The 22,367-nt window shown below is 47.9% G+C and overlaps 1 protein-coding gene across 9 annotated transcripts in view; it reads right to left on the bottom strand.

The window, feature by feature from the left end:
• Positions 1-22,367, bottom strand: part of ESRRB (estrogen related receptor beta) — a 191,061-nt gene that overhangs the window by 42,895 nt on the left and 125,799 nt on the right. For all 9 annotated transcript variants that reach the window (XM_047431079.1, NM_001411038.1, NM_004452.4 and 6 more), the window contains one exon: positions 19,193-19,602. In XM_047431079.1, coding sequence (XP_047287035.1) covers positions 19,193-19,589 — 397 coding nt within the window. In that variant the 5' untranslated portion in view covers positions 19,590-19,602. The remainder of the gene's footprint in view (positions 1-19,192; positions 19,603-22,367) is intronic.

Genomic DNA, 22,367 nt, shown 5'->3' with positions numbered 1-22,367 from the left:
AACCCAGGAGCCAGAGGGAGCAGTGAGCCGAGATCGCGCCACTGCACTCCAGCCTGGGTGACAGAGCGAGACTCTGTCTCAAAAAAAAAAAAAAAAAAAAAAGGAGAGGGTGAACAGAATCCAGGGTATGGGACAGTAAGGACTGGGACCCAGCCCGTCAGCTCCAGCCTGCTCTGAGCCACTGTGCCAGGAGCTCACAGGGCTCTCCATGGGCTTCACACCTCCAGCTGCCTGGGACACCCTTTGCACACTCTTCACTTTTCCCATGCTTTGCTCTCAGCTGCTCAGCCAACCTGTCACTTTTTGAGGAAGGATAAGGCCACAGGCTGCTGCTCAGAGCAAGGAGTCAGGAAGTGTGTGTGCAGAGCTGGAACTGGTGCTCTCCCAGGACAAGAGGACCAAGTGCTAACAGCAAGTCCCCAACCAGGCTCTTCACCCTTTAGGGGTTGGCCTGCATGCATGTGTGTGTGTTTGTGTGTGTGTGTGTGTGTGTGTGTGTGTGTGTGTGTGTGTGTGTCAGAGAGAGAGACCTAATTATTTGTTTATTTTGGTTCCTTTCAATTTATTTTATGGCCCCAGCGGCTAGCTGCCAGCAAAGCCAGGCTGGCGGCCTTGCTTTGTAATTTTTTTAAGTGCCTCCTCGATAAAGTGATGAGATTAATTCATCAGAATTCCTGTGGTCTCTTGAGGCGGGCCTAGGAGCGTGTAGGAACAGGGATAGGACATTGGCAGCACACACACGTGCAGCTGAGGTGTGGCAGTTTTGGGGATGAGTTCTCTCAGGACAGGGACATGGCCAATGGTTAGCATAAATTCCAGGTTCTAACCTGGGAGTGTATTCAGTATAGACAGGTGCAGACTCCACTTTGGGCACATCACCTAACTTCTCTGAGCCTCAGTTTCCTAATCTGTAAAATGGGTACAGCCCCCATCTCATAAAGTTCTTATCTAAAAGTTCCCCAGATTCAGGCCAGGCGCAGTGGCTCACACTTCTAATCCCATCACTTTGGGTGGCCGAGGCAGTAGGATCACTTGAGGTCAGGAGTTTGAGACCAGTGTGGCCAACATGGTGAAACCCCGTCTCTACCAACAATATAAAAAAATTAGCCAGGCATGGTGGTGGGCATCTGTAATCTTAGCTATTCGGAAGGCTGAGGCAGGAGAATCGCTTAAACCCAGAAGGCAGAGGTTGCAGAGATCATGCCACTGCACTCCAGCCTGGGTGACAGAGCAAGATTCCGTCTCAAAAATAAATACATAAAAAATAAAAGTTCCCTAGATTCAGTGACAGAAAGCATACAAAGGTCTTAGTGAAGTGCAGGCACTGGCAAACAGGCCACCACGGCTGCTCTGCTTATTTTTATATTCAGGCAGATCTTACAGTAGGAGTGTCCAATCTTTTGGCTTCCCTGGGCCACATTGAAGAAGAATTGTCTTGGGCCATGCATAAAATATACTAACGATAACTGATGAGAAAAAAAAAAAAAAACTCATCCTGCTACAAGAAAGTTTATGAATTTGTGTTGGGCCGCATTCAAAGCCATCCTGGGCCACAGGTTGGACAAGATTGTCTTACAGGGTAGATACAACCAAAGGATTCCAGGATAAGTCTTTTCTAGGTGTTGGATCCGAGGCTAGCCACCAACTGTGATATTTGAGAACATTAAGGTCTGCCTCCGGTCCCTAGACCTCAGAGTGGATGCTGCCGGTGCCTGTGGGAAGGAGGCAGGCACTGGTAGAACCTGACCTGGACTTCTCCGTGACCTTAAGGCAGAGGGGTAACCACCACCATCAGCTCTCTTTGATCCTGTGCTTCCCGGAGAGAAGGAAATCCCAGGGTCATCCCCATCAGCTGTTCATGAACAGCTGCAGAGAGCAGGGCAGCCCTGCCACAGGCTCAGGAAGGGGGTTGCTAAGCTCGGACAAATAGCTCTCGGGGACCTGTGGGCTCAGAGGCTGCTGGCTAATGACAGAGCTCAAATGGTACCACTCTATTCAGCTGGTGTGAAAGGGCTGGGGTGATGGTCACTCAGTTCCACTCCCTTATTTACACACCTCTGGAGACAGGGACCATCCCTTTCATCTCTGCGTTGCCCAGGGCCCTCTGCTCTCCCGATCCTCCCCCTCACCCATGAGCTGGATGATCTCATTCATGCCACTGGCTTCCACTATCACGAAATTGGCAATGATCTGCAGCCAGTGCTCATGCCCTTATAGCTATCTGCCTGCTGATGTGTCTACCTGGAGGTCCCCTGGGCCCTCACCTTTCTCAAACTGAACCCATCCTCATCCAGCCTGTTCCTCTTACTGTATCCCTTGTCTCATCAAAGGGACGACTAGCCACCTGCAACCTGTCAGAAATGAAGGGGCCTCCTGGATTTTTCCATATCTACCCCTAAGATCCTTTTCATCCTACTTCCTGATACCTGCTCCCTCCCTCCCTTCTGCAACAGTCCTAGTTCCACACTCATCACCCCTTGCGACCATGGTCCTGCACTAGCCTGTCTCCATTTCCCTTTCCAATCTATCCTCCACACTGCCCCCTGGAGGTCAGTTAATAACTTTCCCAGACAAGTTTATGGGTTCTCTGGCCCATCATGGCACATGGAGCACACCTGTCTATGCGTCATCCCAAAAATCCAATAACTGGCAGGATGGGAGTGGGAACTGTCTCAGAGAATGAGGAAAGTAGAAACCTAGGTAGCTAAAGCAAGGGATCCAGATAAGAAATAAGCTAGCCACACTGCAGAACCTCAGAAAGTGTCAGGCATTGAAGACTCAAGATATAGCAGCAGCAGGAGCTACAAGACAAAGCAGCAATGGTGTCCAAATCCTGATGGACAATTCTTTTCTTTTCTTTCTTTTGTGTGTGTGTGTGTGTGTGTGTGTGTGTGTGTGTGTGTGCGAGTTTCGCTCTTGTTGCCCAGGCTGGAGTGCAGTGGTGTGATCTTGGCTCACTGCAACCTCCGCCTCACGGGTTCAAGCGATTCTCCTACTCAGCCTCCTGAGTAGCTGGGATTACAGGCGTGCACCACCAAGCCCAGCTAATTTTTGTATTTTTAGTAGAGACAGGAGTTCTCCAGGTTGGTCAGGCTGGTCTCGAACTCCTGACTTCAGGTGATCCACCCGCCTCAGCTTCCCAAAGTGCTGGGATTCCAGGCATGAACCACTGCACCCAGCTGAGAATAATTATTTTCAACTAGAATTCTGTACCAAGCCAAGACATGAATCTAATGTGAAGGTTGGAGGATGGAATAGAGGCATTTCCACATATACAAGGTATTGCCGATTTTACCTCTCCTATACCTTTTAAGGACGCCCATGAACTACATGCTTTCCCAAAGAAGGAAAGAACTAAAAAGAGGAAGAGGTAGGATCCAGAAAACAGGGAATACAACCCATGAGAAAAGTCAAGGACATGTCAAGAAGGAAATGGCAACAGGCAAAATAGAAAATTTTGTGATATTACCATATTGGGACAGCGGGATGATCGTGTGTGTGTGTTGGGATGGGTTGTGTAATTGGAGCTAACTCATCTTCCATAACAGCAAGTCAAGAAAGAAGGTAAAACTTGCTGTCAGCAAATATAGCTATAAGATCACAATATTACTAAATGATAGAAGAGAGTTTTTTTTAAATGGTTAACTCTGAATTAGAGTGGGAGGAGAATGGGTAGGGCCAGTGACTGTGATCCTTCATTATAAAACATATATATATATTTTTTTTGAGACAAAGTCTTGCTCTGTCGCCCAGGCTGGAGGACAGTGGCATAATCTTGGCTCACTGCAGCCTCCGCCTCCCAGGTTCAAGCAATTCTCCTGCCTCAGCCTCCCAAGTAGCTGGGATTACAGGCACCCGCCACCACACCTGGCTAATTTTTGTATTTTTAGTAGAGACGGGGTTTCACCATGTTGGCCAGGCTGGTCTCAAACTCCTCACCGTGTTGGCCAGGCTGGTCTCAAACTCCTCACCATGTTGGCCAGGCTGGTCTTGAACTCCTGGTGATCTGCCTGCCTTGGCCTCCCAAATTGCTGGGATTATAGGCATGAGCCACTGTGCCTGGCCTAAAAGTTATGTTTCTTTTATACTCTTTAAACTATTTGTATACCTTATTTTGAAAAGAATTAGAAATAAATTTAAAGTATAAATTTAAGAAATTCTCCAACTCTTGCCACCCAGAGCAGAGAACAAAATCTAAACTCCAGGGCAAAGCCTACCAGGCCTTTTATGATCTGACCATTTCCAAATTGTCCACCCTAATCCCCTCTCACTGAGGCCTCCAGTTTGTAGGCTCCAGCAGATCTGAACTGTCAGTAAGTATAATAGTTCATGGATCTCATGGAGCCCCCGGCCCTCCCATACCTCCCTCTACCTGAAACTCCTCATTTGGTCCTCCTGGCCAGCTCCTCCACATCCTTGGAGCCACAGCTCTCACATGGCCTCCTTGGTGACACTTTCTTCCCTTCTGCCCCAGATAGGCTCGCATGTTTCTCGCCACCACCCCATCCCCACACTCAAAGCAGCTACCTTAGTGTTTCATAATCACAGGTGTACCTGTGGGCCTCCCTTCTGAACTGTGTGCTTTTTGGGAATGGAGATTATTATGTTTTTCATTTCTGTATCTCAAGTACAGTATCTCAATCCTGGAAATCGATTAATATCTGTTGAATAGATAATGAATGCAAACGAATTGAAAGCAAGAGCCCCCACCCAGAGAATCCTAGAATTCCACAACAGTGACCTTTCAGCTACCAAATGCAATTGTCTCCTCTTGGTCTTTCTCCTCCTGGTCCTTCCTGAAGCAGCAGACACCCATTGCCACCCTCTTAAAACAGGCTATTTTGTTAGATTTCATCTCCCTTCTCTCTGCAGGGACTCTTGCAACATCTCTGACTATTTCTATGTGTATTTAATCAACTCTGGAGTACTTGCTTTCTTTTGTTTTTTTAGTCGCCTGGTTTGTAATGAACTAAGATGCTTTCAGTGGTAAGATGTACCATTATTTTACCCATCAGTCAAGAAAGAAAAAAGAATCCACCGATTAGGCTCACACCTGTAATCCAGGCACTTTGGGAGGCCACGGCCAGTGGATCACTTGAGCCCAGGTGTTCAAGACCAGCCTGGACAACATGGTGAAACCCCATCTCTACCAAAAATACAAAAAATTAGCCGAGTGTGGTGGCATGCCCCTGTGGTACCAGCTACTTTGGAGGCTCAAGGTGGGAGGATCACTTGAGCCCAGGGAGGTTGAAGGGAGGCTGAGGCGGCAGTGAGCAGAGATTGTGCCACTGCACTTCAGCCTGGGTGACAGAGCGAGACCCAGTCTCAAAAAAAAAAAAAAAAAAGAGCTTTTTTTCAGATTTGATTTGATCCCGTAGCCTTCTTACACATACATAAGAGAAAATACGAGAAAAACAGATTGGTTAAAATATTGCTAAAACATCTCAAACTCTTCTGAATCATTTTTGATCAGTCATTGTTTTCATGTTTTTTTCACAGAGTCATCCTCTCTACTATCAAGGGCTTTGTTAAGAAAGTGTTCACTGTTGTCTCAGGCCACTGGCCCCTACTCTGCAACTTTTGAGGTGCGTTTGAGTGCAGTGACAACCAGGGAACGGCTGTCACCTGGTCAATGGTAACTGTGACAGGCAGCCCAATTCAGAGATGTTACTTGGAGAAAATGTGCATCTTAGAACTGATGAAATATGGCACTCCTCAATCTCCTTTCAAGGCCCCTCCTATGCTCCTTCTGTTCCGCAGGGTCCCTCAACCCTTCTCCTTCTAAAGAGCTTTCTCTCGAACACCAGTTCTCAAATTTGAGCTTGAATGAAGCTCACCTGAAAGGCTAAATCAGATTGCTGGGCCTTGCCCCCCAGTCTCAGATTCAGTAGGTCTGGGGTGGGGCCCAAAATTTGCATTTCTAACAAGCTCCCAGGTGTAGCCTTTGCTGCTGGCCTGAGGGCCACACTTTGAGAACCACAGTCTTAGAGGCTCTCCTTAGACTTAAAACCCCACTCAAGATTTTGCTTCTGGGCTGTAATTCCAAACTCTCCAGGGTCTCTGTGAACTGATCAAACTCAATATGTCCAAAACTTTATCCATTATCTCATGCTCCTTCCCACCCTGACTCTCCCAGCTGACGAAATTGTTCCTTCTGGGTATTTATGTTTTCCCCCTAATGGCCTTGCCATCTCCCTAGTAGCCTAAATTAGAAATCTAAGAGTCCTCCTTCCCTTAGCATCCACAATCCAGTCACTATCCTTTTAATAATGAATCCACCTTTTTTTTTGTTTTGTTTTGTTTTTGTTTTGTTTTTTTTTTTGGAGACAGAGTCTCACTCTGTTGCCCAGGCTGGAGTGCAATGGCCTGATCTCGGCTCACTACAACCTCTGCCTCCCAGGTTCCAGCGATTCTCCAGCCTCAGCCTCCCAAGTAGCTGGGATTATAGCCACCACGCCTGGCTAATTTTTGTATTTTTAGTATAGACGGGGTTTCATCATGTTGGTCAGGCTGGTCTCAAACTCCTGACCTCAAGTAATCTACCCGCCTCTGCCTCCCATAGTGCTGGGATTACAAGTGTGAGCTACTGTGCCCAGCCTGAATCCACTTTTGAAAGTTCCTCAAGCCTAACTTCTCCTTCTAGCCCTTTTGCCCTGATCTTGGTTTGGACGGCCCTAACTGCACTGTTAAAATTGCTTCCTGTGGCCGGATGTAATGGCTCACACCTGTAATCCCAGCACTTCGGGAGGCCAAGGCAGGTGGCTCATGAGGTCAGGAATTTAAGACCAGCCTGGCCAACAGAGTGAAACCCCCTTTCTACTTAAAATACAAAAATTAGCCAGGTGTGGTGGCATGCACCTGTAGTCCCAGCTACTCGGGAGGCTGAGGCAGGAGAATCACTTGAACCCAGGCGGAGGTTGCAGTGACCCAAGACCATGACATTGCACTCCAGCCTGGGTGACAGAGTGAGACTCCATCTTGGGGGAAAAAAAAAAATTGCTTCCTGCTGGGCGCAGTGGCAGACGCCTGTAATCCCTGCACTTTGGCACTTTAGGAGGCCAAGGCAGGAGGGTCACGAGGTCAGGAGTTCAAGATCAGCCTGGCCAACACAGTGAAACCCTGTCTTTACTAAAAAAAAAAAAAAAAAAAAAAATTAGCTGGGCATGGTGGCCCACACCTGTAATCCCAGCTGCTGGGCAGGCTGAGGCAGAAGAATCGCTTGAACCCAGGAGAATCTGCAGTGAACCGAGATTGCACCACTGCACTCCAGCCTGGGCAACATAGCAAGACTCTGTCTCAAAAATAAATAAATAAAATAAAAATAAAATAAAATTGCTTCCTCACTGGGCTCCCAGCCCCTAGCCTCTCCTGCTTCCACATCATCGTTCCTATTGTTGCCTGAATTATCTTGCTGAAAGGAGATCTGATTAATTCCCTGCTCAGAAGCCTTCAATGACTTCCCATTGCCAAGCACAACTAACAAAACAAATACTATTTATTTCATGTGCCAGGCACTTAGTTACACCCTCACATGCATGTCTCATTTCATTTTTGCAATAACACTGTAGGGGCAGGAACTATTAACATTTTACTGATACGGACATTAAGGCTCAGGAAAACTAAGTCACTTGCCCAAGGTGATACAACTAAGAAATCGTGAAGCTGAGATTCTAAGCCTGGTTAAATAGCCCTCAAATCTTAAATATGACTCCTTACTTAACTGTTCCTTACCATGACCTGTGAAGCCTGGTGCACTCCAGTGCCATGCTGTTTTCCCAGCCCATCATCCACCACTGAGCCCCCTCCTCTCTTGCTGCCAAGCATGTTTACCTTCCACTTCTGAGAAAGTGTCCCTTCTTCCAGGAAGCCCTCCCTGCCCTCCAGAAGGTATAAACCTTCTCTGGACTCTATGTGTCACCTAAGTCACAGGCTGACCACATTCTGACTGGCATCCTGGCTGTGTCTCCAAAAAGAGGAATTGTGATTTGTTCTGTCATTTGCCAGTGCCCTACAGATAGCTAACATTTTGTGGGTTTAATGGACTCTTCTTGTAGAGATGAGGAAACTGAGGCCAGAGGAACTCAGTCCTTGCTTGCCCAAGGTCAGCCAGTTGGCTAGTGACTGGGCCGGGACCAGCACCTAGCTCCTGACTCCTGCCCTCTCCTGCTCTTGTCTCTGCACCCCTGTCTTGTGCCTCCCGGGATCCAGGATCCAGATCCGCCAGCTGCATTCTCCAGGACAAAAGACCTGGAGGCGACCCAAGGTGGAATAACCCATCAATCATCCCCCTTCCCCTCTCCTAGGGGAGTTTTCTTCCAAGCCTGCATCTGGGCCCCAGGTGAATGGAGGAAGCACTGTGCCAGGCCTCTTTCTTACTTGTTCCTTCTTGTTTTAAGTTAGAGACCCAGGAATTGCTCAAAAGACTCCCAGTGGCCTGTGCAAAGTTGGCCATCTACCCTGGGAACTCAAGGAGGAGTGCAGACTGGCTTTACCTAACCGTACAGCCCCTCATGGCCATGTATCACATGTTAGTCAACGGCTGCTACTCTACCTGGAAAAAAATCCAAGTGCACCCCTCACCATGGCCCCTAGACTTTGCCCATCCTCTCCAGCCCCTTCCACTTTGCCTTTGCTCACTGACACTAGCCATGTTGGCCCTCCTGCTGTCCTGAAACACACTGGCTTTTTCCTCTGCCTGGAACGCTGGTCCCAGGATTCCTTGATGAGCTTCAGCTTCCTTTAAAAGTCACCTTATTAGCACAACCTTCCCTAATCCTCCTTCTAAATGAGACCCCCCCCCTTTCTCAGTCACTCTCTGGTCTCATCATTGTTTTTTCTCCTTCATAACACCTGTCTCAGTCTGTCACCATGCTTCATTATTTATCATATTTATTGTCAGCTTTCCCCCTACAATGCAAGCCCACTAGGGTGGGGGCCATAGGAATGCTTGAGCCCAGGAATTCAAGACCAGTGTAGGCAACATAGAGAGACTCCGCTTTACAATTTTTTTAAAAAATAAATTAGCCGGGCATGGTGGTGCATGCCTGTAATTCCAGCTCCTCAGAAGGCTGAGGCAGAAGCCCAGGAGTTTGAGGCTACAGTAAGCCATGATCATGTCTCTGCACTGAGCCTGGGCAACAGAGCAAGACCCTGTCCCAAGGACCAAAAAAAAAAAAAAAAAGGAAAGAAAAAAAGAGAGAAAATTGCTTATGATTTGAGTCTTTACAAGTTCTCACATCAGAGGTGCTATTAAGTCAATCACTTTGTACTGAACAACAATCTAAAATTTGGGAAGACACATGGTCCTAAGAAGACCGCAATCAATGCTCCTTGCCTGAGTGAATCACTACAAAGGGAGTAAATAAAAACAAACTTTTTTTTCTTTTTTTTTTTGAGACTGAGTCTTGCTCCGTCACCCAGGCTGGAGTGCAGTGTGTGATCTTGGCTCACTGCAACTTCCGCCTCCCGGGTTCAAACAATTCTTGTACCTCAGCCTCCCAAGTAGCTGGGATTACAGGCATGTGCCACCATGCCAAGCTAAGTTTTGTGTTTTTAGTAGAGATGGGGTTTCGCCATGTTGGCCAGCTGGTCTTCAACTCCTGGCCTCAAGTGATCCACCCGCCTCGGCCTCCCAAAGTGCTGGAATTACAGGCATGAGCCACCATGCCTGGCCTGGGAGTAAAGAAATTTAACACAAATTTAGTTATTCCCAGGAAAATAATCTTACAAGTGTTGGGTGTCAAAAGCAGTATGTACCTGATACATTGTGGATATCCTGATCATAAGTCAACACAAATAAAAAAAGAACTCCCCTTATGGTGTAGGACGTATACTTATGGCTTAAAATAAAAAAACTTTAGGGATAGCAGCGCATACATTCTCATAAAATTTCAATTAACTGATGGAAATGAAGGCAGCACACTGAAACACTGTTAAATGACTCAAAAAACTCTAGAGAAGGAAAACAAAGACATTTGTATCAAAGATTCATTTGATAAGACTTCCTTCACAAAATATGTGTAGAAAAACAACTTTTCAAAAATAATATATTGTTTTCCATAAGGTAATTTAAAATATACAAGCGTAACTAAATAATATATTGTTATAAGCAGACATCTGACTATTTTACCTAGATCCCTTAAAGTTTACACATATGCAAACTGGCCCAACTTCTTCAGTTTGTCCTCCCTGGGAAATGGGAGATCACTTTGTTTGGGGATTGCATTGCATTTGGACACACTGAGAACCTTCTACATGCCAGGTACTGTGAGAGGACATGGGGTTAAGTGAAAATCGAAGTAAATGTGGGCTGGGCGCGGTGGCTCACGTCTGTAATCCCAGCACTTTGGGAGGACGAGGCTGGCAGATCATTTGAGACCAGGAGTTCGAGAGCAGTCTGGCCAACATGGTGAAACCCCGTCTCTACTAAAAAAAAAAAAATACAAAATTAGCCAGGCATGGTGGTGCGTGCCTGTAATCCCAGCTATTTGGGAGGTTGAGGCAGAAGAATCACTTGGACCTGGGAGGCGGAGGTTGCAGTGAGCCGAGATTGCGTCACTGCACTCCAGCCTGGGCAACAAGAGGGAGACTCGGTCTCAAAAAAAAAAAAAAAAAGGTAAGTAAATGTAACCCTGTGCCTTAGGAGCTTGTACTCTTCTTGGGGTATCAGACAAAAAAAATGGCAATAACCATACAGTGGGAGAAGGGTGGCGTGATGGGCGAACCTTTGCAGGGCATCCAGGAGGAATGAGAGGAGAGAATCAGAGAAGCCTTCCTGGAGGAAATGCCTACTAACTGGAGACCTAAGGGACACAAGCTGGGAGTAGAGGTTGGGAGTAGGTGCAACAGAGAGAAGAGTATATGCAAAGTCTAGAAATTGAAAGCATGGAATAAAATCTGGTAACTAGAAAACAGAGCAATCAGGGTGACCACAGCATGCAAAAGAGAGTGGCATGAGACGTGGGGCAATCCCAGAGGGCGTCCTTGGCCATGTTCTGGAGCTTTGATTCTCCCCACAAGAAAGAAGGGAGACATGGTCAGATGTGTGTTCAGGCTGGGAACGGCCGAGCCTGGCAGCAGGGAGAACAGGTAGGAAGCGGTGGGAGTCAGCGGTGGCCTGAGCTGAAGCAGGGGAAGGAAGACAAGCTGCTGGGTCAAGTGATCTGAAGGAGGGAGAATGAACAAGACTTGGCCACTGGGATGTTAGTTCGGGGTGGTAGGGGGGTGGGCGCTGGGACAGGAAGCAGAGTTAAAGGTAAGACCCAGGTGTCTGGCTTGAACATGGAGGGCTGATGCAGGCACTGTATTGGGAACACAAGGAGAAATGGTGATGGAAGGAAAACCGCTTCTGTTTAAGACTTCGTGCAACTGGGGTGCTTCTGGGGCATCCAAGTGGAAATGTTCATTAGGTGTGAAAGGAATGGAGCTTGGGGAAGAGGATGACAGCAAGACCTATGGAATTAGCATTCATCCTGATTTCAGAGACAACTGAAGCCATGGATATGAGAAGGAAGATGCTGGGCGCAGAAGCTGGGTCAAGAACTGAGAGGAGGAAGAGAGGAAGAACCAGGAAGCTGAAGGTAGAGGAGATATATATTTTACAAGATTGGAGATACTAGAGATAGTTGAATGTTAATGGAAAGAAGGAAGGAAGGAAGGAAGGAAGGAAGGAAGGAAGGAAGGAAGGAAGGAAGGAAGGAGACTTTAGAAAATGAGCAAGGGAAGACAAAGGAGAGGAGGTAATAGCCGAGAGGGTCTCAGGAGGAGGGAAGGAGGTAGGATTCAAAGCCAGAGAAGAGCTGAGCCTGGGGTAGGAGACATCTCTTCCAGCAGTGAGTGAGTTGCAAGAAATAGCTGCGGAATCAGTGAACGGAAGCAGCTGCGAACATGGAAGAGAGTGCATCGGTTTGGCGGCAGGAAGCTGAGGGAGTTCTAGTTTCTCAATAAAACAGGAGGCAGAGTCATTGCTGAGAGAGACACAGGGTGACAGGGTCAAGGTTATTACAAAGGTTTTCATTACGGTGGAGTCAGTGTCACTCAGCCCTAAGTCCCAGAAGCAGCTGACTTTTCCAGCCACAGAAAGTGGCTCCATCTCTCAGAGGCACTCCTCTTGCCTAAATTCAGGAACCTGATGTATAAGCTCAGGGATGCCATGCAAAGAGAGCACACATACAAGGAGAAATTGATCTGTCTGCCTGACCTGCAAATTCACTCCTTGCAGAAGACCTGCAGGGGAACTAGATCCTAACCAGAAAGATATTAATCAGATAAACGGAATGTTTAATCACATCAGGCTGTCCCTAGGCTAAGACTCCCTTTTCCTAGGAGTGGTGGCTTTGCCTAAGTATGTCTGTTTTTTCTATGCCTCCAGGGCTAGCCAATCCTTGTTAATTGGCATTTTTTTTTCTTTAGATATGCGAGTAAATGCAATCAGGTTGAGGTCTATCTCTTCTGACTTGGAGCCATTCTGTTCCTTCAGGAAGGTGCCTTCATCTGTCTATGAGCTCATCTATTCTCAGTGAGTGTCATCACAGCCCCCAGCGACAAAAACAAAAACAAAACAAAAAAAAAAAACGAACAACAGAAAAAAACCTCCCTTTCATAGCATAGAATTGGGCAGGGTTGGAATAAACACTAACATGCACTACTAGGAGTTGATTATAGGTCTCTGAGAGCCAGGAGACTGAATCTGCCTAGTTCAATGTAGTGCAGAGGAGTGTTTCAGGTTTTGTGGATCAGGCCGTCACTATTGCAACTACTCAGCTCTGCTGTTGTAACGCTCAAGCAGCCATAGACAATATACAAACAAATAGGTGTGGCTGTATTCCAACAAAACTTGATTTATACAACCAAGGGTGGCTGGCTTACAGGCCGTAGTTTGCCCATCTTCCCCCTCTTCCCTCCCCCGCCATTGTACTACCAGCCAAGCACATAGTGAGGGCTCAATAAAGATTGGTGGATTGGACGCAGTGGCTCACGCCTGTAATTCCAACACTTTGGGAGGCTGAGGTGGGTGGATCACTTGAGATCAAGAGTTGGAGACCAGCCTGGCCAACATGGTGAAACCCTGTCTCTACTGAAAATACAAAAATTAGCCGGGTGTGGTGGTACACGCCTGTAATCCCAGCTATCTTGGGAGGCTGTGGCAGGAGAATTGCTTAAGCCTGGGAGGCCGAGGTTGAAGTGAGCCAGGATCGCTCCACTGAACTCCAGCCTGGGTGACAGAGCGAGACTCTGTCTCAAAAAAAAAAAAAAAAAAGATTGGTGGAGAAGGAATGACTCGGTCTTAGTCTTTCTCCCTAAATCTATCATGACATCTTTGTTTCTGCAAAATTTCTTCCCATATTAGTACAACCATTGGATTGCGCAGAAGGAAGTGATCTAAGGAAGAGGCAGGGTGTGAGGTAACACGATTAACATGATTTTCAGAGCTTTTCTTTTCTTTCTTTCTTTCTTTCTTTTTTTTTTTTTTTTTTTGAGACGGAGTTTTGCTTTTGTTGCCCAGGCTGGAGTGCAATGGCAAGATCTCACTGCAACCTCTGCCTCCCGGGTTCAAGCAATTCTCCTGTCTCAGCCTCTCGAGTAGCTGGGATTACAGGCATGCGCCACCACACCCAGCTAATTTTTGTATTTTTTAGTAGAGACGGGGTTTGATCCTGTTGGCCAGGCTGGTCCTGAACACCTGATCTTAGGTAATCCACCTGCCTTGGCCTCCCAAAGTGCTGGGATTACAGGTGTGAGCCATCGCACCCGGCCGCTTTTTTTTTTTTTTAAAGAAACTCCAGCTCTGTTGCCCAGGCTGGAGTATAGTGGCAGGATCATAGCTCACTGCAGCCTCCAAACTCCTGGGCTCAAGCAATCCTCCCACTTCAGCCTCCCAAGAAGCAGGGATTACAGGCACGAGCCACCATACCCAGCTAATTTTTAAAAAATTTATTGTAGAGATGAGGGTCTCGCTTTGTTACACAAGCTGGGCTGGGCTGGAACTCCTGGCTTCAAGGGATCCTCCTGCCTCAGCCTCCCAAAGTGCTACCATTACAGGCAGGAGCCACCACACCTGGCCCAATTTTCAGAGCTTTCCAAGCATTTACAGGCACTCGTGAATGGCTCATTCCATGACTTAAGCCCTCTGTCCACACAATAGAACTTAAAAAAAATGACCTGAATATTAGGTGCTTAGGAGACTATGTCCTGGTTTGGAGCACAGTGCTACGCCTGTAGACTCATGGGCACTAAGCAGTAGATTGCAGCTACCTGGGCCAGGCGCAGTGGCTCCTCCCTCTAATCCTAAGCACTCTGAGAGGCTGAGGCAAGAGAATTGCTTGAGGCCAGGAGTTTGGGACCAGCCTGGGCAACATAGCAAGGCCTCATCTCTACAAAAACAAAACAAAAAAAAACCCACAACAGATTCCAGCTTCTTAGGGAAAGAACCACGTCCCTTTCTCTCCTGCTCCCCCTCTGCACCTTACTCAGAGAGGGACTCAAAGAATGCTCACTGAGTTCTGAGTTTGTCTCTGTGGTTGTCCAATTCTAGGTCATTTTTCTCCTGTCTGTACTTTTCCTAGTTTTCCAGATGTTCTACAGTTGCTACGTTTAGAAACAACAAAATCTGGCTGGGTATGGTGGCTCACGCCTATAATCCCAGCACTTTGGGAGGCCAAGGTGGGAGGATCACTTGAGGTCAGGAATTCGAGACCAGCCTGGCCAACATGACGAAACCCCGTCTCTACTAAAAATACAAAAATTAGTCGGGTGTGGTGGCACAGGCTTGTAATCCCAGCTTCTTGGGAAGCTGAGCTGGGAGGTGGAGGTTGCAGTGAGATCACTGCACTCCAGCCTGGGCAACAGAGCGAGACTCTGTCTCAAAAAAAAAAACAACAACAAAACCTAAATCTTTGTTAGAACAAAACCAAAGAGTTAATAAAATAACCACAGCAATCTGTCAGCCTTGAGTTTACTTTTCCCTGTCCTGAATATAAACCTCTTTCTGGTTACGAACTTGAAACTCTCCTTGTGGAAAGAGAAGAGGCTGCAGCAGTTCAGTTCCAACTGCACAAATGCTGCTGTTTGTCTTTTGACTTCTACGAAGAGATCATTATCCTATTCGCGGTAGCAAATAATTAAGACTATTTACGAATCTTTCATGTGGACTCCTGACTTGCTGAGAACATTCGCAGACACCTGGGCCTCTGTCAAGCATGCAGTAGGATTTCTGAGTTTACACACATTAACCTCTGCTTTCAAAAAATGTGATTCAAAACTCTCCAGCCCATCTAAGAACAACATGGTGAGAAGAAAATGTGACTGTCTTCTAACAAGCAATTCTTCAAAAACTGACCTCAAAGAGTCTAAAATAATGGCAACCTCTCCAAGACAACCTTCCAATTTAGAAAGAAAAATGTTGTTATCTTGGTAACTTCAGTTGACTTAAACATTTTGTGTTTGTCAAATATCTGATGATTTGTGTAAAAACCATCATACTGGAGGTTCTCATTCTTGGCTGAGGCAAGAGACAGCATCACCATGCAGTGCTTTTCAAATACAGAGATCCCAGGGCCTTCCCCCAGACTCAGACTCAGGGTGTATAAAGCGGGCAGAGACCAGGGTGCATTCATTTTTATGTCCTGGAGGCCAGCACAGTGCCTGATAAAGACGATGCTCAAAAAATATTTGCTTGACAAAGATGGTAAAGGGGTCCTTCTGGGATAGTTAAGAAAACTGAGGTCTGGGGTTTCAGGAAAACGTGCTCTACTGTTTTGCACTGCTAGAATTTTTTTTATCATGTTTATTTTTTTAAAAGGGCTCATTTAAGAAATAAATCACTTTATGACCGGGCGCGGTGGCTCATGCCTGTAATCCCAGCACTTTGGGAGGCTGAGGCGGGTGGATCACTTGAGGTCAGGAGTTTGAGACCAGCCTAGCCAACATGGTGAAACCACATCTCTACTAAAAATACAAAAAATTAGCCAGGTGTTGTGGCCAGCACCTGTAATCCCAGCTACTTGGGAGGCTGAGGCAGGAGAATCACTTGAACCCAGGAGGTGGAGGTTGCGGTGAGCCAAGATCATGCCACTGCACTCCAGCCTGGGTGACAGAGTGAGACTCTGTCTCAAAAAAAAAAAAAAAAGAAAAAAAAGAAAAGAAAAAAGAAATTTATAACTAAAATAGCTAAAATAATCTGAGTCCTGTTAGATCAAAACAATTATTGTTTTATTTAAATATATGTAGATTACAAAAGCTTATTCTATAAGATAAATGTGTCCGTTGTTTTCATAATAATATGTCTTAAATCACATTGTTAAAGTTAAAATAATAATTACAAACATTTGTTTGGCACTTACTAGGTGCTAGGCAATATTCTAAGTGCTTTATATATATTAACTCACGTAAGCTTCTTAACAGCTCTATAAGGTAGGAACAATATCTCACTTTTTATTTTTATTTTTTAAAGTTTTATTATTTTTTTTTGAGACGGGATCTTGCTCTGTTGCCCAGGCTGGAATGCAGTGGTGCCATCTCGGCTCACTGCACCCTCTGCCTCCTGGGTTTAAGGGATTCTCCTGCCTCAGCCTCCCAAGCAGCTGGGATTACAGGCACCTGCCACCATGCCTGGATAATTCTTGTATTTTTAGTAGAGACAGGGTTTCACCATGTTGGCCAGGCTGGTCTCCAACTCCTGAGCTCAGGCAATCCACCCTCCTCGGCTTCCTGAAATGCTGGGATTACAGGCGTGAGCCACCACGCCCAGCTGATATCTCACTTTTTAGATGAAGTAACTGAAGCACAGAGAGAAACAGGGAGCATGTCCAAGGTGCAGCTATAAGGGGACGATGGAACTCTCTGACCAGGAGCCCTGATGGTTAGCCAATGCACCACACCATCTCAACTCATATGTGGAAGTGGAAATATATCCAATCTTAATGTCTTCAATTGGTTTCATAAATAGATTGCCATCTGAAGAAACTTAAACACATAAATATTTGTTGAATAAACAGAATCATCCCGGGGAAGCTTAGCCTGCCTCTTCTAAAAGGGAAATGAATGGGGTAGGTACATTCTGGGGACAGTGAGGCAGGGCCCTGGAAAGGGATCTGATGCAGGGGCAGGATGGGTGGTTCCTGGGTGTTCTCCTGTCTGGTCTGCAGTTTCTGTGCCAGTTGGATGGCACCAGCTCATCGCAGTGACCTGCATGAGTAGAGATTTTGTCTATCCTATCACCAGCACCTACAGCCTGGCTTGGTGCTTTGTAGGTGCTCAACAGATACTTGACTAACTGAATGAAAGTGCTCTACCCAGGGCCTGACGCAATTAACAGTCACAGCTATCGGCGAGGCACGGTGGCTCAGGCCTGTAATCCCAGCACTTTGGGAGGCCAAAGTGGGCCCAAGTGGATCATTTGAGCCCAGGTGTTCGAGACCAGCCTGGGCTACATGGTGAGACTCCATCTCTATTAAAAATAAAATTAACTGGGTGTGGTGATGTGCACCAGTGGTCCCAGTGGTCTCTCTCTGCCATGAATTTGATAACAGCCCTGTGGGGGCAGGCCCACCATTCTCCCCAATTTATTCTCCCCAATTCACCTCGTGGTGACTTTACAGAGCGACCCACCAGGGTTCTTGCACGCCTTTTGTCAGAGTGATTGACTCTAGTACCCACAGAAAGAGGGTGCCACCACCATGGCCATTGGAATGTGACTCAGGTGATATGCAAATGTATTGATAAAAAGCTTATGGGTGTGGTGGCAGCGACTGTCGTTCTAGCTACTTGAGAAGCTGAGATGGTAGGATGGCTTGAGCCCAGGAGTTCAAGGCTGCAGTGTGCAATAATTGTGCCTATGAATAGCCACTGCACTCCAGCCTGGGCAACATAGCAAGACCCTTATCTCTCTCTCTTTTTGAGATGGAGTCTCACTCTGTCGCCCAGGCCTGAGTGCAGCGGCCCAATCTTGGCTCACTGCAACCTCCACCTCCCGGGTTCAAGCGATTCTCCTGTCTCAGCCTCCCTAGTAGCTGAGATTACAGGCATTTGACACTACACCCGGCTGATTTTTTGTTTGTTTGTTTGGTATTTTTAGTAGAGACGGGGGTTTCACCATGTTGGCCAGGCTAGTCTTGAACTCCTGACCTCAAGGCCCACCTTGGCCTCCCAAAGTGCTGGGATTACAGACTTAAGCCAGTGTGCCTGGCCCGAGACTCTCATCGAAAGAGAGAGAGAGAGAGAAAGAGAGAGAGAAAGAAAAAGAAAGAGAGTGAGAGAGAGAAAGGAAGGAAGGAAGGAAGGAAGGAAAGAAAATACAGGTCTTAAAAGATAGGTCAAACTGGGATCCAGACAGGATGGGTTGAGAGAGAGAGAGAGGAAGGGAGGAAGAAAGGAAGGAAGGAAGGAATGAAGGAAGGTCGGTCTTAAAAATAGGTTAAACTGGGATCCAGACAGGATGAGCTCCTGTCCTGATTCCAACAGGTCTGAGTCTTCTACAGTGAGAAAATACTCATATATTATTATTATTATTTTGAGACAGGGTCTTGCTCTGTCTTCCAGGCTGGAAGGCAGTGGTGCCATCACAGGTCACTGCAGCCTCAGCATCCCAAGTAGCTGGGACTAGAGGTGTGTGCCACCATGCATTAATTTAAAAATAATAATAATAATGATGGGGTCTTACTGTGTTGTCCAGGCTGGTCTCAACTCCTGGCTTGACCTATCCTCTGGCCTTGGCCTCCCAAAGTGCTGGGATTACAGGCATGAGTCACCACATCTGGCGTTTTACTTGTATAAGTAAGACAAAAACAAGGTGAGGGACGCTTTCTATGTCCCGTAAGTCTGGAATTGCAGGGCAAATTATATTTTTCCCCCGCACAAAATAAACTTTTTGAGGGACACACATTTGACAGTGTACTCCATACCAGTGAGAAGCACCCAGGGTTTGGCATTCCTGTGGATTTTCTTTTGGTTTTCTGGGGCTGTGCATGGGGGAGCTGAGGGGGTGGGGAACGCGTGTCATCTCAACAACAGTCTTGCAGCTGTCCAGTGCCAGAATGAGAAGCCCTGAGCAAGGGAAAAGGCGCCCCACAGAAGTACCGCTCCAACAGCGCCCAGAATTGGCAGTCTCTGGGAATTCCTAGGGCTTCTGCCAGACCCGCAGGCACGGCTGCCACCCCCAACCCTGCGCCCAGGCTCCTTGAGGCCCACCACGCACCTTGGATAGTCCTCTTGAAGAAGGCCTTGCAAGCCTCGCAGGAGGCCACGCCGTAGTGGTAGCCAGAGGCAATGTCCCCGCACACGAGGCACAGGCGCTTGGGGATGGCGTTGAGCATGTACTCGCACTTGATGGCCGAGTCCTCCATGATGCCGCTGGCACAGTCCTCGTAGCTCTTGCGGCATGGGGTGCCTCCCAGCCCGGCGCCTGCAAACATGGGTGGCGAGTCCAGACCGTTGGCGTGGGTGCCCAGGGCCAGGCCAAAGCCGCCGCTGGCGTCGGACGAGCCACTGGGGCTGTGGTGGCTGAGGGCATCGATGCCCGAGGACGGGCTGGACGGCTCAGTCTTGATGAAGGAGCCGCAGCTGGAGCCCAGGTGCCTGTCGTCCGAGGACATCCTGTTCAGCAGCCTGTGGACACAAATCGGGAAGTCAGCCCCAGCAAGGTGCTGTGGGTGTGGTGGGCGGGTCCAGCCCCGCAGGTAGGGTGGCTGGGAAGGGCTCTATGCTAAGGCTTTGGTGCGATAAAACAACGGTGGAGAAGGTCAGCTGGTCTCCCCTCGGCGCAGCCGGGAGCAAGTTTCTGGCATTACCTCCAAAACCTTCGGAGGCCTCAAAGAAACTTTATTTTGATCAATAAACTTCAGCGGACCAGGTGTGGTGGCTCACACCTGTAAATCCCAGCACTTTGAGAGGCTGAGCGGGGAGGATCATCGCTTGAAGCCAGGAGTTTGAGACCAGCCTGGGCAACATAGGGAGACCCCATCTGTTAAAAAAAAAAAAAATTAGCCTGGCATGATGGTGTATGCCTGTAGTCCCAGCTACTCAGGAGCTGAGGAGGGAGGATTGCTTGAGCCCAGGAGTTTAAGGCTGTAGTGAGCTATGATCGCACCCCTACGTTCCAGCATGGGTGGTAGAGCAACACCTTATCTCAAAAACAAACAAAAAATCTTCAGATTAGGCACCCTAGTGCTTTGCAAATTTCTAGTTTGAGGGTGACACAAGATGGAAACTAGTCAGCCAAAATGTTTGGCCAACCTTCCTGCATAACAATAATACACAAAGGCTACAAGTTTTTTTTTTTTTTTGAGATGGAGTCTCGCTCCGTCGCCTAGGCTGGAGTGCAATGGCCCAATCTCGGCTTACTGCAACCTCCACCTCCTGGGTTCAAGCGATTCTCCTGCCTCAGCCTCCGAAGTAGCTGGGATTACAGGCACCCGCCGTCATGCACAGCTAATTTTTGTATTTTTAATAGAGACATAGGATTTCACCATATTGACCAGTCTGGTCTCAATCTCCTGACCTTAGGTGATCCACCCGCCTCGGCCTCCCAAACTGTTGGGATTACAGGTGTGAGCCACTGCACCCAGCCAATGGCTACAATGTAACAGTCTTGGCAGTACAGCTTTGGCCCAGAGACTAAGTACAGTGACCTGGCTTGGAGCTTCCCTGGGACCCCTACCTTCACTAAGATCGGAACCAGAGGCAACAGGTTATTTGGCTGATTCAAGAAGGAATCCTGTGGCAAAGGTACCAGCCAGATTGGCTGCCCTTTGGGTTTTGCCACTGGTCCAGGCTTGGTACCAGAAGGCATGTCTGGAAGGTGGCTCCCAAACCCTCCCTCTCTCATTTCCCTTCCTAGACCCCGAGTAGCCAGCTTCTACCCAGCCTGCCTGTCCCCCAAGAGACATGTCTCCACTGGAAAGCTTGAGGGAGCATTCTAACCCCAACCCTGAGCATCCCCCAGCTATTTCTACCCACTGAGCCTCCCCACCCACCCACAAAGTCCAGGTGAATTACCAGTATGGCAAGATCACTGTGTGGGATAACAGAATGTTTCCTGTAAACCAAGCCCCTCCACCCCGGCCATGCTGGTGGAGGAGAAGGCGGGCAAGGGTGTTCCCCTCCCGTATCCCAGCTCCCAGGATGAAGGGAGAGGACTTGTTCTTCTCTCAACATGGACAAGAAAGACAGCTGAGCTCACACCTGGGAGATTAAGGTGTGTGTTCAGGGAAACCCAGCTGTGGGTCACATTCCAGCCAGGATTGGGTCTGAGGGTGGCCTGGGTGGTGTTGATCTGTCCCTGTCCTTGACAGGCTGCCTCACTCCCTGAGCCTCCCCCTATGGAGGTAGAGAGGAGGCTCATGCTTATGCCTGGAGCAGGTGAAAGGAAAAAGGGAAAGATCTTGCAGAGGAGCAAAGGATAGGGAGGTCATAGGACAGCCTGCCAATGGAAAGACGACTCTTGGGTGGCAGGGAGGGTCTGTCTCTCCCTCTTATCACACCCACAGAGCCCACTTGCATCTTGCAACCCATGGCCAAATAGCAATGCCACAAAATGTGTCTGTGCAACCTTATGATTGGGAGAGGCCTCCACTGTCCCTGGTCTCATTAATGATTAATACAAATTAAGCCCTCCTGGCTGGGCGTGGTGGCTCATGCCTGTAATCCCAGAACTTTGGGAGGCTGAGGTGGGTGGATCACGTGAGGTCAGGAGTTCAAGACCAGCCTGGCCAACATGGTGAAAGCCCGTCTCTACAAAAAATACAAAAATTATCCGGGCATGGTGGCGCCGGCCTGTAGTCCCAGCTACTCGGGAGGCTGAAGCACGAGAATCACTTGAACTTAAGAGGCAGAAGTTGCAGTGAGCCGAGATCGGGCTACTGCACTCTAGCCCGGGAGACAGAGCAAGACTCTGTCTCAAAAATTGATTAATTAATTAATTAGCCCCTCCTGAGGGGCTGCCATTGACTATGGCTGGAGTCAAGGAACTCACTTTCCCATAGACCAGAAGCTGGGAGCTACAGACACAAAGATAAAAGATAACATAAAGCTCCTACTCTCCAGAAGTTCACCAACTCCCAAAATGCAGTGTGTGAAGACAGAGACTCCTGGGTCTCTTCTGTTTCCTGTGGAATGTCCCTGAGTCCTCGGAGACACTCTCCTATAAGCCCCAGTCCCCTGGTTGAGAATCTCCTCCAGGCCCTTCTACATCTCTGTGATCATCTCCCTGGGCACTGCCACACACCTTCTTCCCAACCACCAGTGGAGTCCCCAGGAAAGACCATCAGCCTGGCAGGCCATCAGCTGCAGGGGCATGTGATGAGCCAACAGGGGCGCACCTTGCTCCTCAGGCACCCTTCCACGAGGCAGGCAGAATAGAGCTGACCACATCC

Source organism: Homo sapiens, chromosome 14 (genome assembly GCF_000001405.40).
Source record: "Homo sapiens chromosome 14, GRCh38.p14 Primary Assembly".
In the NCBI taxonomy this organism is placed as follows: domain Eukaryota; kingdom Metazoa; phylum Chordata; class Mammalia; order Primates; family Hominidae; genus Homo; species Homo sapiens.
The sequence above is the reverse complement of the archived record's forward strand: the minus strand, read 5'-3'. Positions and strand labels throughout refer to the sequence as shown.